Raw genomic sequence first — 15,588 nt, 5'->3', positions numbered from 1 at the left:
CATCTCAAAAAATACAAAAAAAGAAGAAAAGAAAAAAAGAAGTAAAGTATCACTTTACTTTTTGCCCCAGTAATCCGCTGGTGCTTTGGTCCTGGGTGTTTCTTAGTAAAGTCAGGCAACACCAATTCTATACACCTGACTGCATCTATGAGTTTACATAAGGCCCCTGAATGGAAATAGACTACAATCCCATCTTGTCTCTTTGAGGTTCAATGATGCTGAGATATATCAGGTGGACCTATATGGCACAGAACCAGGTCAGACAGTAGGAAAGGATGATGGGGCCTCCAGAGAGTCAAGCACCAGGAGTCTGGCCTGGTGTGTTGGAATAAGTCCCAGGGCTTATAGAAGGTGTAAGTAATATGGTCTGGACGAGTTAGCTCCAGGCTAGTTGGCAGAGATCTACACTGGCCCCAGAAGTGGCCATGAAGAGAGTGGGCATCACAGAAACACCTCTGGAGATGAGTCAAAGCTTTGGCACGAGCAGCAGAGGCACACAGGACCAGCAGGTGGGGCTGTTGATATAGTTAGGACAGGACACATGGCCTAGAGCAGCATCACCAGGCAAGGTCAGGCGGATAATGTCAGGTGAAAACAGTGCTGGAAATTCTTGGAAATATTCCCAAAGAATTCTTTGAAAGATGGATTTTCCTGTGATGATCCATACTGATTACAAGGTGAGAGAAGCAGCTATTAAGTTATTAGAATTCAAGAATTGAAAAGAATCGGGCCTCGCTTTGGGGTCCAGTACTGGAGGCCTGGAACATTGGGTTACATTTATACCTCCCTGCATGGAAAAGGGCCTTACACATGGTAGGGACTCGGTCCAACTGTTCGATTCTTCCTACTTTTTAAATCAGAGATTTTTTATTCACTTTATCATTTGTGGATAAATAGACCAACACAGACTGCTTCCATTTATGGGAAGACCTTGGTATTTCCTGAGTCAGGAGGTTCCTAAACCTCCCTGCTTTGGAATTTACCACACTTCTCTTCCCATCTCCTCCTCCCCAGGGTCCGTAACCACAAGACTTGAGGTATTGTAAAGTACTTTCAGTTCAGCAACTGAGGACTCAGAAGAGAGGCCTGTACACAGTTGTGAAACCTTAAGCCCCTGGAAAACGCCCACCGTTCAAGGGCAAGGTCACGCTGGGTCCCACCCTTGGGGAACCCTCCACACTGGCAGGCTGCGGATTGGCTCCGCCTGTCTTTCATGTCTCTGCAAAGTGTTAACAAGTCGATTTCTATCGTTTTAGTGGAAAATGGCCGCTCAATGCTCAATGTTGAAAACTTTCAACACAGATTACTGAAAACTCTTAAAACATATTTGAGAGCCTCCAAGTTCCTCTTCTGCCCCGCCTAGATGTCTTCCCCTCATCTACATAGGACTCTAACTCCTATAGAGGAATTTCATCATTCCTCCCTCTACAATCCATACTTTGCTGATCAGGCCAATACTTACTAATTGGTATGCAACTGCCAGAAGGCAATAGAAGCTCCCCAAGAATTCCACCCCTAAATCTGTGTTGCCATCGCTATTCATTAGACAAAGTCCTTTTTGAAAACCACAAATTCTGAAAGTATTTTCTATGCAACTTCCCAAGAAATGATTTAACAGTCTAGAAATGATTCAAGTCTACCAGATACTTGTAAAAAAATATTTTCTGCCAAATCAAGTCAAAATATTTGGTTAATATAAATATGAATTAATGAACCATATTCATTCTTAAACTTCATGAGGGTTTTTTTTTTTTCATCAAACGTGGCCCAATTTTGAGTCCAGAGACCTTAATAACCACAATGAATGTGTCATTTTGGTTAGAAAAACAACTTTCCAAAAGTAAACTAACCTCTTGGACTTGAGGTCCTATGGAAAGGCTGTAAAGTATACTAAACCCATGGAGTGAATGTGCAGGTTGCTGAGAAAATGCCCAGTCTTGAAGAAATGAAGATGGCCTTTGTGCTGTTCTCTCAAATTTATGTCAGCTCTGTCTTACTCTTCAGAGGTAGAAGACCTCTGGGTTAAATGGCCTAGGAAATATACTACATTGAAAGCATCATTTTTAGAGTTCAAACATTATTGTTACTATAATTATTTTATAGCTAACATCACTCAGTGTTTACTTATGCCAGGGACTAAGCTCATTTAAGCTTCACAAGTCTGCAAGTCAGAGTTATCCCCATTTTATGGAAAATAGTAACAATACAATGCTAATATTTATGTAGTGTTTATTATATGCCGGGAACTGTTCTAAGCAATTTACACATATTAACACATTTAACACCCACACTAACCTCATGAAGTAAGAGAATTTTTGCACTGCACAATACCACCAGGTTCCATTCACATCAATGATGATGTGACCACATCAGTCGTGGTTTCTAATTTCTCCACCTTCTAAGGGTTCTTGAATGAGTAAATGCCTCCCAGCGTAGTGGCCAGTCTAGCTCTCTGATTATACAGCATCTCATGCTGGGACATATATCACATCTGTACTTCTCCCAGGTCAGAAAAATAAAGGACCACTTATTTTAAGCACAGAACTTGATGTACACCCATATGCACATAAACTTGGATCTCACGAGAACCCTCTAATTGCATGTTTCTTTTGTAGCGAGACCACATGTTGCACAAAAACTGCTTTGCCTGAAGATATTGTAAAGTAGTGAGTTTGGGGGGTCTGCAGAGTTGCATTTAAATTTGTGAGAGCACCTTATGTACCTATTTGGCTATTTCACTTATGCACATTTCCCCAATATATTTATACCTTAATTCAAATATATATATTTGAATTAAGATGGTTAAAAATGGACGTTCTTTCATAAGCATAACTGAAGACAGGTAAAGCACTAAGACAGAGAAGCGTTCCTCTCTGTACTTTGGGGCGTGAGGGCTCAAAAGCTAGAAATCGCACTTCCTAGGCTCTCCTGCAACTCAGGTTCCAAGTGCAAATGGAGTATCAAGGCCCAGAAGACGGAAGTGAGGTGGAGGCTATTTTCCTGCTGCTGCAGCTGTCTCAGCTGGCAGGTGGTTGTAGAGGCTAGGACTCTCCTGCCATAGGGTGGCAGCCTCCAGGTGTGGAGTCACAGAGGCAGCCTCCGCAGAGGCAGCCTCCCATAGGGGCAGCGGCAGCTTCCTGATCACTGACTGCAGCTAATTTGATGTCTTCTTGAGGCCAGCAATTCTAGCAGAGATGTCCTGCTTTCCCAGTGCCCCCCACCACAGAGACAGCAGCCCCCTTGATGGGCCAATTGCACACGGTGTTCCAGAAGTGATTCCTAGATGCCCAGCCTGGAGCCTACTCCTCCAGCCCTTCTTTCTTATATACCCAATTTCCTGTAACAAATCTCTTCCCACGGAAATTAGCTCATTTGTTCCCCCAAACCAAACTTTAATGGATAATAGATAGCACGTGACAAACACCCAGTGCTCAGGAATCAGCCTGCAATGCTCAATGTTTGCACTTAGAAACCAGGAGCTGCTTTTTTCCTGTCGGATGTCAGAGGCAAACAAGGGAGTCAGTGCCCTGGCAAGTCTTGGCACTCAATTAAAACAGCACATTCCATCCAGGTGTGCTGGCTCACGCCTGTAATCCCAGTACTTTGGGAGGCCGAGGCAGGTGGATCACGAGGTGAGGAGTTCCAGACCAGCCTGACCAAAATGGTGAAACCCGTCTCTACTAAAATATACAAAAATTAACCGGGCGTGGTGGCATGTGCCTGTAGTCCCAGCTACTCATGATGCTAAGGCAGGAGAATCATTTGAACCTGGGAGGCGGAGGTTGCAATGAGCCAAGATCGTACCATTGCACTCTAGCCTGGACAAAAGAGTGAGGCTCCATCTCAAAAACAAAAACAAAAACAAAACAAAAAAACCCCCCAGCACATTCCACATTTAGAGGTACCAGCCCCAGAGGGCTGAAGTCTGCCTTCTAACTGATCTGCATAATTTCTACTTAAATACTCATACTTCTCACAATCAACTTCTCACCACTGCCCCCCATGTCCCCCACCACCCCCAACAAAGAAAAGAAAAAGAAATTCCAGCAGAGCAAAGGAGAATTTGTGCAGAGGCTTCTTTCTCAACTCTGAGTACCTTCCTCAGTAAATCAGGCACTTTTGAGCCCATCTTTTGTGTGTGCTGAACCCCTATTAACTGAGCCCATATTTAAAAAACAGTTAGGCTACGCGTTTTAAGCCTGCCTCAGTCTATGCTTGCCTGGCAGAATCTAACCTCCCCTTTAAATGAGAACCAATTACTACAAGGGATCATTCTTTTGTAGCTTCAGAAAAAAAAAAAACGGTCTGACTGGCAAAATAAAAGAATTTAAATAGAAGATGATAATGCATACAGGACAAAGGCTGGCAATGAGTTCCTTGGGGCCAACAATGTTTATATTAATAACATCTTCATTATGAGGATTTTAACAAGGCATCAAATCATTTGCACACTAAAGTTCATATATGGGAATCTCTGTATACAAGCTGGAAAGAGGCTACACTAGGGACAAACAATATTTATATATTGTCTAAGAGATCCTCTGCAGCTGTAGAATGTCTAGTAATATTAGCAAACTATACAAACTCTATGACTGGTAGATAGCATGTTCTCCTGAGGGATACATCATTGCCTCTTGCTCCTGAAGATTCTAAGAACTGGAGAGCAAGGATTTAACGCATCTCAATCATACAGTGAGGTCGTTCATTACAGCTTATTCTCCATCATCAGCCCAGATGATGAAAAAGGCTATTTTCTTTCAAGGTCATACCTCAGAAATGCTCTCCAATGAGTGAAATGAAACCAAATCAGCAGACCATTGCACCAGCCGTCAGGAGGCCTTCTCTCTCAGTATGACCAACTCTGTCACCAGCAAGATAATTTGCAGCTCTAGGAGAGCTTGCCTATGTATCAAAAATGCCTAGAGTTTTATGCTTTACTAACTTACTGTCTTGCTAAGGTGCAGTGGCCAACTAGTTATGCAATGACCCTAGGCAGGAATTCAAATTGAGTCCTTGACCCATCTGAGGCTCAGACCCGGTGGTGTGAATCCGGTGATCACAGTGACAACCTCACACATAAGTGTTCTTCTTAGGACAACATAATCCTCAGAAAGTATGGACAATTCCTTCAGCATCAGATAAGTTAATCTACCTACTCTAGTATAGGTTGGATATTATTAGAACTTTTATGGAAGCCAGGAAGAAAATGCTCACAGTTAAAAGCTCTTTCTTACCTACCTCCAAAACCACAGTCCCTGATATTTGATTCCAGATACTGCAGCATTGAGGATGTTACAAAGCTTGCTTCAGAGTTTGTTGTTGCTGTTGTTTGTTTTTTTAGGGACAGGGTCTTGTTCTGTCACCCAGGCTGGAGTGCAGGGATGTGATCATAGTTCACAGGAGCCTCAACCACCTGGCCTCAAGCCATCCTCCCATCTCAGCCTCCCAAGTAGTTGGGACTACAGGCACATGCCACCATACCTGGTTGACTTATTATTATTATTATTATTATTATTATTATTATTATTTTTGAGACAGAGTCTTGCTCTGTCACCCAGGCTGGAGTGCAGTGGTGCAGTGGCGCGATCTTGGCTCACTGCAACCTCCGCCTCCCAGGTTCAAGCGATTCCCCTGCCTCAGCCTCCTGAGTAGCTGGGATTACAGGCGCCTGCCACCACGCCTGGCTAATTTTTTTGTATCTTTAGTAGAGATGGGGTTTCACTGTATTAGCCAGGATGGTCTTGATCTCCTGACCTCGTGATCTGTCTGCCTCAGCTATTATTATTTTTTTTGAGACAGTCTCGCCCTGTCTCCCAGGCCGGAGTGCAGTGGTGCTATCCTGGCTCACTGCAACCTCCATCTCCAGGGTTCAAGCAATTCTCCTGTCTCACTCTCTGAAGTAGGTGGGATTACAGGCGTGCGCCACCATGCCCAGCTAATTTTTTCTATTTTTAGTAGAGACGGGGTTTCACCATGTTGGCCAGGCTGGTCTTGAACTCCTGACCTCAGGTGATCCACCCGCCTTGGCCTTCCAGAGTGCTGGGATTACAGGTGTGAGCCACCGCACCCGGCCTATTTTTTATTTTGTAGAGACGAAGTCCTGCTATGTTGACCAGGCTGGTGTTGAACTCCTGGCCTCAGGCAATCTTCCCACCTTGGCCTCGCAAAGTGCTGGGATTACAGATGTGAACCACTGCACCCGGCCTGCTTCGTAGTTCTAACTAGGATTTTCCTTATAATAAGATCCCTGGGAGAGGGTTCAAAAAGAGTTCACCTAACACATATCAACTTTTGCTCTGAAGAGAATTCAAAGTTCCAAGATTCTTATAAAACTCCCTAGGCACTGCCGTTAGCATGGACACTAGTCACTAATAAAACAGGTCTTTCACTGAAGATAAAATGAGAATAATATGAGTAGAAAATGGCTAAGCCAGTAAAACAACAGAAACAAAAATAAATGAAATTATATGTTCTTTTTAACAGGTTTATTGAGGTGTAATTTACATGCCATGTAATTCACCCACACAGAGTTCACTGATATTTAGTAAATTTATAGTTTTGCAATCATAACCACAATCCAATTATAGAACGTTTCAATCACCCACAAAATACCCCTAGTTCCAATTTGCAGTCAATCCCTGTTCCCACCCCCAAGCCAGGCAATCACTAATCGGTTTTCTGTCTTTATAGATTTACTGTTTCTGGATATTTAATGTAACATCCCGTAAAGGAATCGTAGAGTACGTGGTCTTTTGCATCCAGATTCTTTCATTGAGCACAGGAGTCAGCAAACTACCTGCTGCCTGTTTTTGTAAATAAGGTTTTACCGGAACACAGCTACAGCTATGCATTCATATACTGTCTGTTGCTGCTTTGGCACTGCAAAGGCAGAGTTGGGAAGTTGCAACAGAGACCATCTTGTCCACAAATCTGAAATATTTACTACCTGACCCTTTAAAAAAACATTTGCCAACCTCTAACTTAGCATATTTTTGCGTTTCATCCATGCTGTAGCATGTCCCAGTCATTCATTCCTTTTTATTGCAGAACATTTTGCAATATATCACATTTAATATATAGCATGATTGCTTATACATTAATATATCACATTTATATTCATGTGTATTAATATATCACATTTGACTATCCATTCATTTGCTGATGGACATTTGGATTGTTTCTAATTTGGGGCCATTATGAATAATGGAGCTATAAACATTCATGTATAGGTTTTTGTAGGAACATATGGGTTCATTTCTCATGGCAGACACCTAGTACCCAGGAATGAAATTGCTAGATTCTACGGTAAGCTTATGTTGAACCTCATAAGAAACTGGCAAACTGTTTTCCAAGTGGCTGTACCATTTTACGTTCCCACCAGTAATGTATGAGGGTTCCTGTTTCTCCACATTCTTACTGCCTCTTGTCACCATCTGTCAATTTTATTTTGCTATTCTAATGGGAATATCATGGTGGTTTTAATTTGTATTTCTTCTAATGACTAACGACATTGACACCTTTTCATGTTTCATTTGTCTTCTTTGATGAGCTGTCTATTCAAATCTTCCACCCATTTTTTCTTTTTTCTCAGGTTATCTTATTATTGAGGTGTAAAACTTCTTTATATATTTCGTATAGAATTCCTTATCAGATGTATGATTTGCAAATATTTTCTCCTATTTCTCTATGGGTTGTCTGTTCACTTTCTCGAGGGTGTCTTTTGATACTCAAAAGTTTCCAATTTTGATGAAGCCTAATGTATCAAATTTTAAAATTTATAGATCTTGCTTTTGGTGTTGTATGTAAAAAATTTTTGCCCAACCCAATCCACTAACAATTTCTCCTATGTTTCTTATCAAAGTTTCATAATTTTGGCTCTTAACATTTAGGATTAATCTTTATGCATGTAGCCATCCAATTTCCCTACCACCACTGTCCCTGCTGAATTACACTGATACCTTTACAGAAAATCAACAACTTTAAATGTAAGAATTTATTCCTAGAATCCTGGAATTCAGTTCCATTGATCTATATGACTATCTTTTTGCTAATACTGTACTATCTTGCTAACTGTAGTCTTATAGTAAGTTTTAAGGCAGGAAGTATAAGTCCTCCAACATAGTTCTTATTTTTTCAAGATGGTTTGGCTATTTTGAGTCCTTTGCATTTCCACAGAAGTGTTAGCACCCTACCAAAAACAAAGCTAGCTGAGGTTTCCAATATTTGTATTTAAAGCTGTACTTTTTCTTTAAGGATCAGCTTGTCCATTTCTGTAAATGAGCCTGATATGGTTTGGCTGTGTCCCCACCCAAATCTCATCTTGAATTGTAATCCCCATAAACCCTATTGGGAGGGACCTGGTGGGAGATAAGTGAATCACAGGGGCGGTTTTCCCCATGTTCTTCTCGTGATAGTGAGTGAGTTCTCATGAGATCTGATGGTTTTATAAGCATCTGGCATTTCCCCTGCTGGCACTCATTCTCTCTTCTGCTGCCCTGTGAAAAGGTGTCTTCTGCCATGATTGTAAGTTTCCTGAGACCTCCCCAGTCATGTGGAACTGTGAGTCAATTAAACCTCTTGTCTTTATAAATTAGCCAGTCTCAGGTAGGAATATTTCTTCATAGCAGTGTGAGAACAGACTAATACAAAGGCTATTGGTATTTTCATAGGAATTGTGCTGAATCTATGAATCAGTTTTGGGAAAATTTCCATCTTAACAAATATTAAGTCTTCCAGTCAACGAACTTGGTATATCTCTCCACTAATGTCTCTCAGCAATGTTTGGTACTTTATAGGACTTTAGCTTTTTTTGTTAAATGTATTTTTAAGTAGTTGATTCTTTTTTTTTTTTTTTTTAGACAGACTCTTACTCTGTCACCCAGGCTGGAGTGCAGTGGCGCGATCTCGGCTCACTGCAACCTCCCGCCTCCTGGGTTCATGCCATTCTCCTGCCTCAGCCTCTCCGAGTAGCTGGGACTACAGGCGCCCACCACCGCACCTGGCTAATGTTTTTGTATTTTTAATAGAGACAGGGTTTCACCGTGGTCTCGATCTCCTGACCTCGTGATCCGCCCGCCTCAGCCTCCCAAAGTGCTGGGATTACAAGTGTGAGCCACCGCGCCCAGCCGTAGTTGATTCTTTTTAATGATGTTGTGAATAGAATTGTTTTATTAATTTTTGGGTTGTTCATTGTTAATATACAAAATACAATTGATTTTTATATATTGATCTTGTATCCTTCGTTTGTTGCACTTATTAGTTTGAGTAGGGGCTTTTTGTGGGTTTCTCAAGGTTTTCTACAAACTGCTTCATGTCATCTATGAATAATGACAGTTTTACTTCCTCTTTTCTAATCAGGCTACCTTAAATTATCTTTTTCTTATTGCATTTTAAAGATACTCCAGCGCAATGTTGAATAGAAGTGGCAAGAGCAGGCATCGTTGATATTGTTCTTTACATCAGGAGGAAAGCATTCAGTCTTTCACCACTATGTATGTTAACTGCAGGTTTTTCATAGATGCATTTTTATCAAACTAAGGAATTTTCATTCTATTCCTACTTTATTGAATGGGTATTAAATATTTTGCAATGTTTTATCTATTTTAAGATAATCATACGGTTTTTATCATTTATTATTTATATGATGTATTATATTAATTGACTGATATTAAACCAACCTTGCATTTCTAGGAAAAATCCTATTTGGTTATGGTGTTAAACTTTTTCATAAGTTGCTGGATTTGGTTTGCTAATATTTTATTGAGAATTTCTGCATTTTACTCATGAGGGATATTAGTTTGTAATTTTCTTCTTGTATCTTTGTCTGACTTTGGTATCAAGGTAATGCTGTCCTCATAAAATGAATCAAAAAATGTTTTCTCCTCCATTTTCTGGAAGATTTTGTGAAGGATCAGCATTATTTATTCTTTAAACATTGGGTAGAACATTTAAAGAATAAATAATGGTAGAAAAGACCTGTGAGCCCATCTAGGTCTGAGGTTTTCTTTTGGGAAAAATTTTAATTACTAATCCAATTTCTTTATTATAGCTCTGTTCAGATTTTTTTTTTCTTCTTTTGAATCAGTTTTGATCATTTGTATCTTATTAGAAATTTATCTATTTCATCTCATTTGTTGTAGGGACCCTCAGTTCCCCCTCAACTTTCTTTCTTTGTCCTGACAGGGGAACATAAAGTACCTGGACATAGCTGCATGCTCTCTGCTGCAGGCTTGAACCCACACTTAGGCCTTGAACATTCCCAGGCAAGATAAAGTTGTTTAGATTGTTGCCCAAAACACTGAAAGGTCAAACATGTTGCTAAAATGTAGAAACTAGCCCGAGCCCTAAGTCAAATTCCCTAATCCCCCATATAATTTCCATAACCCGACTCCCTCATTATAGACATACCTGGCCAGAACATCTCCTGTCTCTCTATCTGTTGAGAGGACTCTGAAGCCCTCTGTTTGTAAGATCTCCTAATAAATGCTTTAGACCAGTCACCCTAGCGTTCAGTGCTTCTTTCTTTCTTGGAATCCTAACCAGCTTCTATATCAGGATGGTCTGGGGTAGCTCCTTATGGGACTCCACTGCTGCCAGTTTTGGGCATGGGTTTGGTTGGACAGAACATTTGTTTGCGTAAAGTTGTTCATAATATTTCCTTATAATTATTTTAATTTCTGTAGGGTTGGTTGTGATGTTTCTGCTTTCATCCCTGATTTTGGTAATTTGTGTCTTATCTTGTCTTTTACTGATCAATCTAGTTTAAGATTTGTCAGTTTTGTTGATCTTCTTAAGCAGCACTTTTGGCTTTTTAAAAATTTTCTCTAATGTTTTTTCCTGTTTTCTATTTCACTGATTTATGCTCTAATATTTCCTTACTTCTGTTTGCTTTGGGTTTGGTCTGCTTTCCTTTTACCAATTTCTGAGGGTGTCTTTTGTGAAAGATGTTAGTAAAAAAATAATTTCTGAGGGTGGAAACTTAAATGACTGATTCGAGATCATTTTTCTTCTCTAATGTAGATATTGAAATATATACATTTCTCTCTAAACACTACTTAACTGAATCCCATATATTTTGGTATATTGTGCTTTCATTTTCATTTGTTTCAAAACATTTTCTAATTTTTCTTAAGAAGACACACAAATGGCCAACAGGTGAAAAAAATGCTCAATATCACTAATCATCAGCAAAATGCAAATCAAAACCACAGTGAGATATCACCTCACCCCAGTTAGAATGGCTATTATCAAAAAGACAAAAAATAATAAATGCTGGCAAGTATGTGGAGAAAGGGGAACTCTGTGCACTATTGATGAAAAGGTAAATTAGTACAGCCATTATGGAAACCAGTGTGGAGGTTTCTCAAAATATCAAAAATAGAACTACCATATGGTCCAGCAACCCCATTACTGTGTGTATATATACACAAAGGAAATGAAACCAGTATGTCAAAGAAATATCTATTTTTTCTTTGACCCATGAGTTATTTAACAATTTGTTGTTTAATTTCTAAATATTTGAGACTTTTCAAGTTTATTTCTATTATTAATTTCTAACTGTGTTCTCGAAACATACCTTTCATAATTTCAGACTTTTAAAATCTAGTAAGACTTATTTTATGGCTTAATGTATGGTGTATCTTGGAGATATTTTCATGTCTTCCTTAAATAATGTATATTCTGGCCAGGTGCTGTAACTTACACTTATAATCTCAGCACTTTGGAAGGCCAAAGCGGGAGGATCGCTTGAGACCAGGAGTTTGAGACCAGCCTGGGCAACATAGTGAGACCCTGTCTCTACAAAAATTAAAAAAAGAATTAGTCAGTCCAGTAGTCCTAGCTACTTGGGAGGCTGATCACTTGAGCCCAGGAGTTCAAGATTACAGTGAGCTATGATCACACCACTGCACTCTAGCCTGGATCACAGACAGACTCTGTCTAAAAAAACCCCAAATGTATACACTTTCATCAGATGGAGTATTCTATATATGTCTATTAGGTCAAGTTGGTTGATAGTGTTGTTCAAGCTCTTTTATATCCTTTTCATTTTTTGTATAGTTATTTCATCAATTATTTAGAGTGGGGTATTAAAGTTAACAATTATTATTGCTGAAATGTCTATTTGTCCTTTCAATTCTGTCAGTTTTTGCTTCGTGTATTTAGGGCTCTGTTGTTAGATGCATATATTTATAATTATTATATATTCCTGAAGAATTGCCTGTGTTTTCATTATAAAACACCGCTCTTTGCTGTTAATAAGTTTTTTTTTTTTTTTGGTCTTACAGTCTATTTTATCAGTAGAGCCACTCCAGTCTCTCATGAATTTTTTTTACGTGGAATATCTTTTTCCATTCCTTTACTTTCAATTTATTTGTGTCTTTTAATTGAAAATGTGTTTCATATATGGCATATGGTTAGATATTTCTTTTTTATATGGTTTGACAATATTTACCTTTTGATTTGCATTTTCCATGAATTAATGCTTAATGGAATTTGATATGGTTCTATTTATATCCGCCATTTTTCTATTTGCTTTCTATTCATTCCATATTAGTTTTCTGTTGCTGCTATAACAAATTACCATGAATTTAGTGGTTTAAAACAACATATATTTATTATCCTTCAGTTCCAGGGGTCAAAAGTTTGATGCAGATCTCACTGGGCTAAAAGCAAGGTGCTAGCAAGGTTGCATTCCTTTCAGGACACTCTAAGACAGAATCCATTTTCTTGCTTTTTCCAGCTTCTAGAGGGTGCCCTCCATCCTTGGCTCATGGCATCCTCCAAAGCCAGCTATGGCCACTCCAGTCTTTCTCACATTGCATTATCTGACACTGACTCTTCTGCCTCCCTCTTCCACTTTTAGAGATCCTTGTGAGTATATTGGACCTGCCTGAATAATTCAGAGTAATCTTCCTATCTGACGATCAGCTGATTTGCAACCTTAGTTTCAACTGCAACCTTAATTTCCTTTGCCATGTAAGGTAACATACACACGGATCACACCGTTTAGGATATAGACATACTGGGGGTGCATTACAATGCTGGTATCTTTACTTATCATGATGTCTAGCATCTTTTTGTTTCTTTGCTTGTCCTTTATGCCTTCTTTAGTGTTAAATAAATATTTCATAATGTACCATTTTAATTCTAATTCCTTTGTTGAGTTTTTTATTTCCATGCCCCACCCAGAATCACAACTTCAGGCTAGTTGCAATGTTGATGTTCCCTGCTGTTTGCCACTGAGATTGCTAATGTTTCCAACAACACTCAACAGCATGAGGTTTTCCCACATTCTACTGTGCTCCAAATCAAAGTCAGTGCCCCCTGACAACAAAGCTGATGGTTTTCATACTTTGCCCATACTAAAGGAGATGGGGTAAGGAGACAAGAGCAGTCTCAGGCTAAAATGCCATAGACACCCACTGTTCTTATCTAGCTAGGTTCAGTACTTTCTCCTGAATAAAAGCTTTTCTATTTTGGTATGCCTGTGCTAGATTTCAGGAGTTCATAAATGGTTGGTTTTGATAATTTTGTACAATTTTGTCATTGTTTTGGGGAAGGAAATTTGCTGAGCTCCTCACTCTACCATTCTCATATTATTTTAAGCACATAAAATGTTGGCAAATAATACATCATAGCATCTACATCTAGGATAAAGTCACCCTGTTTCTGAATCAGATAGCTTTGTGGTAGGAAGGGAGTAATATGTTGCCTAAAAACCTACAGATATTGAAGGAAGAAGGGATAGCTTAAATTTGTATATCCTTCTTTCTTCTTAGATGGATTAAACCATACTTTGGTAAGAACAATATATAAATCATTGGTGACAACTTCAAATTATTAGCAGTAATTGTCCAAAGGCTGAGTTGAGTACCCATAATCTTTATTTGAATTTGAACAAAAATATCTCGGCCAGGTGCAGTGGTTCATGCCTGTAATCTCAGCACTTTGGGAGGCCGAGGCAGGCGGATCACTTGAGGTCAGGAGTTCAAGACCAGCCTGGCCAACATGATGAATCCCCGTCTCTACCAAAAATACAAAAATTAGCTAGGCATGTTGGCACGCACCTGTAATCCCAGCTACTCTGGAGGCTGAGATGGGAGAATAGCTTGAACCTGGGAGGCGGAGGTTGCAGTGAGCCGAGATCGTGCCACTGCACTCCAGCCTGGGTGACAGAGTGAGACTCCATCTCAAACAAACAAACAAACAAAAAATCTCTCTTCCATAGATTTAACATTAGTTCCCAAGATCCTTCTGACTATGGAAAAACCCAGTACTGCAACATAAATGAATAAAGCATTATAATCATTGTGTCTAAAAAGTAATCAAGACTAAAAAAAAGTTAGCTGAATTGAACCACATTGGAAACTATTCTGAAACATATACATGATCATAGCACCAATATAGCTGAGTGTAGTCCTGGATATGGTCCAAGTTGCTTCCTATGAAAATCACCCCAGGAATGTCAGTTCCAGCAGCTGGACCCATGTTATACTAGCAAGGCTGGAGCAGTGTCAGAGGAAGTCTCAAAGAACTCTTAAGTAAGAAAATAGCAGAAGTGACCACAGTCAGTGAAATAAAGCAACAGGGAAGTATTCGAGCATCTTGGAGGTGCTTTCCTTGATCCTAACCTTCCTGCCTTTCCATTCTTGGAATTTTCTATATCCAATAAAACTGTCTCTTTCTGGCACAAGTCAGCCAGGCAGTAGAAGAGTGTCAATGGGCAAGAAGCAGCCATAAATAAGTCCTAGACACCAAGAAATGATACCACTGCACTCCAGCCTGGGTGACAGAGCGAGACTCCATCTCAAAAAAAAAAAAAAAAAGGTACCAGTTTTCCTGTGGACCAAAAACCCAATCTCCTTTCAACTCTATCCTGAATGGAGCCCAGACATGTACTGTACTTGCAGTACAGCCAGAGATCTGCCTCAAGACCTTTTTAAAATGATGTGAGGCATAAAGGAACATGCTCAGGGGATGCCTCTCCAGAGGCCAGAGGGCTGGACAAGCCCATCTTTGAAGTACATCTAGTCCCCTCTCTTTGGTTCTTCGCAGTCAGATATCTTGTGACACCTAATACTTAGCTAATTGTAAACAGAGATCATTATCATATTATTAACCTAGCCTTTCACATATAGCTGTGATAACTCAGTTTATAAGATATATTAAACTTTAATAAAATATATATAGCCCATCAAAACTGTCTACACTAACATTTCTCAGACTTCTTCCCCTTCCTGAACAGTCCCAGTGCAGGTCATAAGCATCTCCTCACATTACTACTGCAAAACCTATTGGCAAGCCTCTTGGCTCTTCTCTTTCCAGTGATCTGTCATTATACACAGCATCATCTGTGGTGAACACCATTATATAGCACAGATTCATTCTGGGTCTCTTGATTGTGCCCAGAAATTACACTCCTTTTATTGAATTATCATGGGATGCCACACCATTAGTATATGTTTTTTTAAATTTAAACTTTTTAGTTTAAACTTTTGCAGTTATTTTACTAATTCCTGCCTGCAAATCAGTCTGGGGAGTCGTGTGCTTGTGTGTGTGTATGTGTGTGTGTGTGTTCACGTGCACATA

The 15,588-nt window shown here is 39.6% G+C and overlaps 1 protein-coding gene across 6 annotated transcripts in view, besides 1 other annotated feature; it reads right to left on the bottom strand.

Moving 5' to 3' along the window:
• Positions 1-15,588, bottom strand: part of RASGRF2 (Ras protein specific guanine nucleotide releasing factor 2) — a 269,800-nt gene that overhangs the window by 63,952 nt on the left and 190,260 nt on the right. The window lies entirely within an intron of this gene.
• Positions 358-417: an enhancer, noted in NCBI's record as "active region_22729". NCBI's record gives its function as "activates an Ori minimal core promoter by ATAC-STARR-seq in GM12878 lymphoblastoid cells {active_cell/tissue: GM12878}" and the evidence as "EXISTENCE:reporter gene assay evidence [ECO:0000049][PMID:35858748]".

The sequence above is a fragment of the Homo sapiens genome, chromosome 5 (assembly GCF_000001405.40).
Source record: "Homo sapiens chromosome 5, GRCh38.p14 Primary Assembly".
NCBI classification, from domain to species: Eukaryota; Metazoa; Chordata; class Mammalia; order Primates; family Hominidae; genus Homo; species Homo sapiens.
Note: the sequence above shows the minus strand (reverse complement) of the source record. Positions and strands in the feature narration are given on the sequence as shown.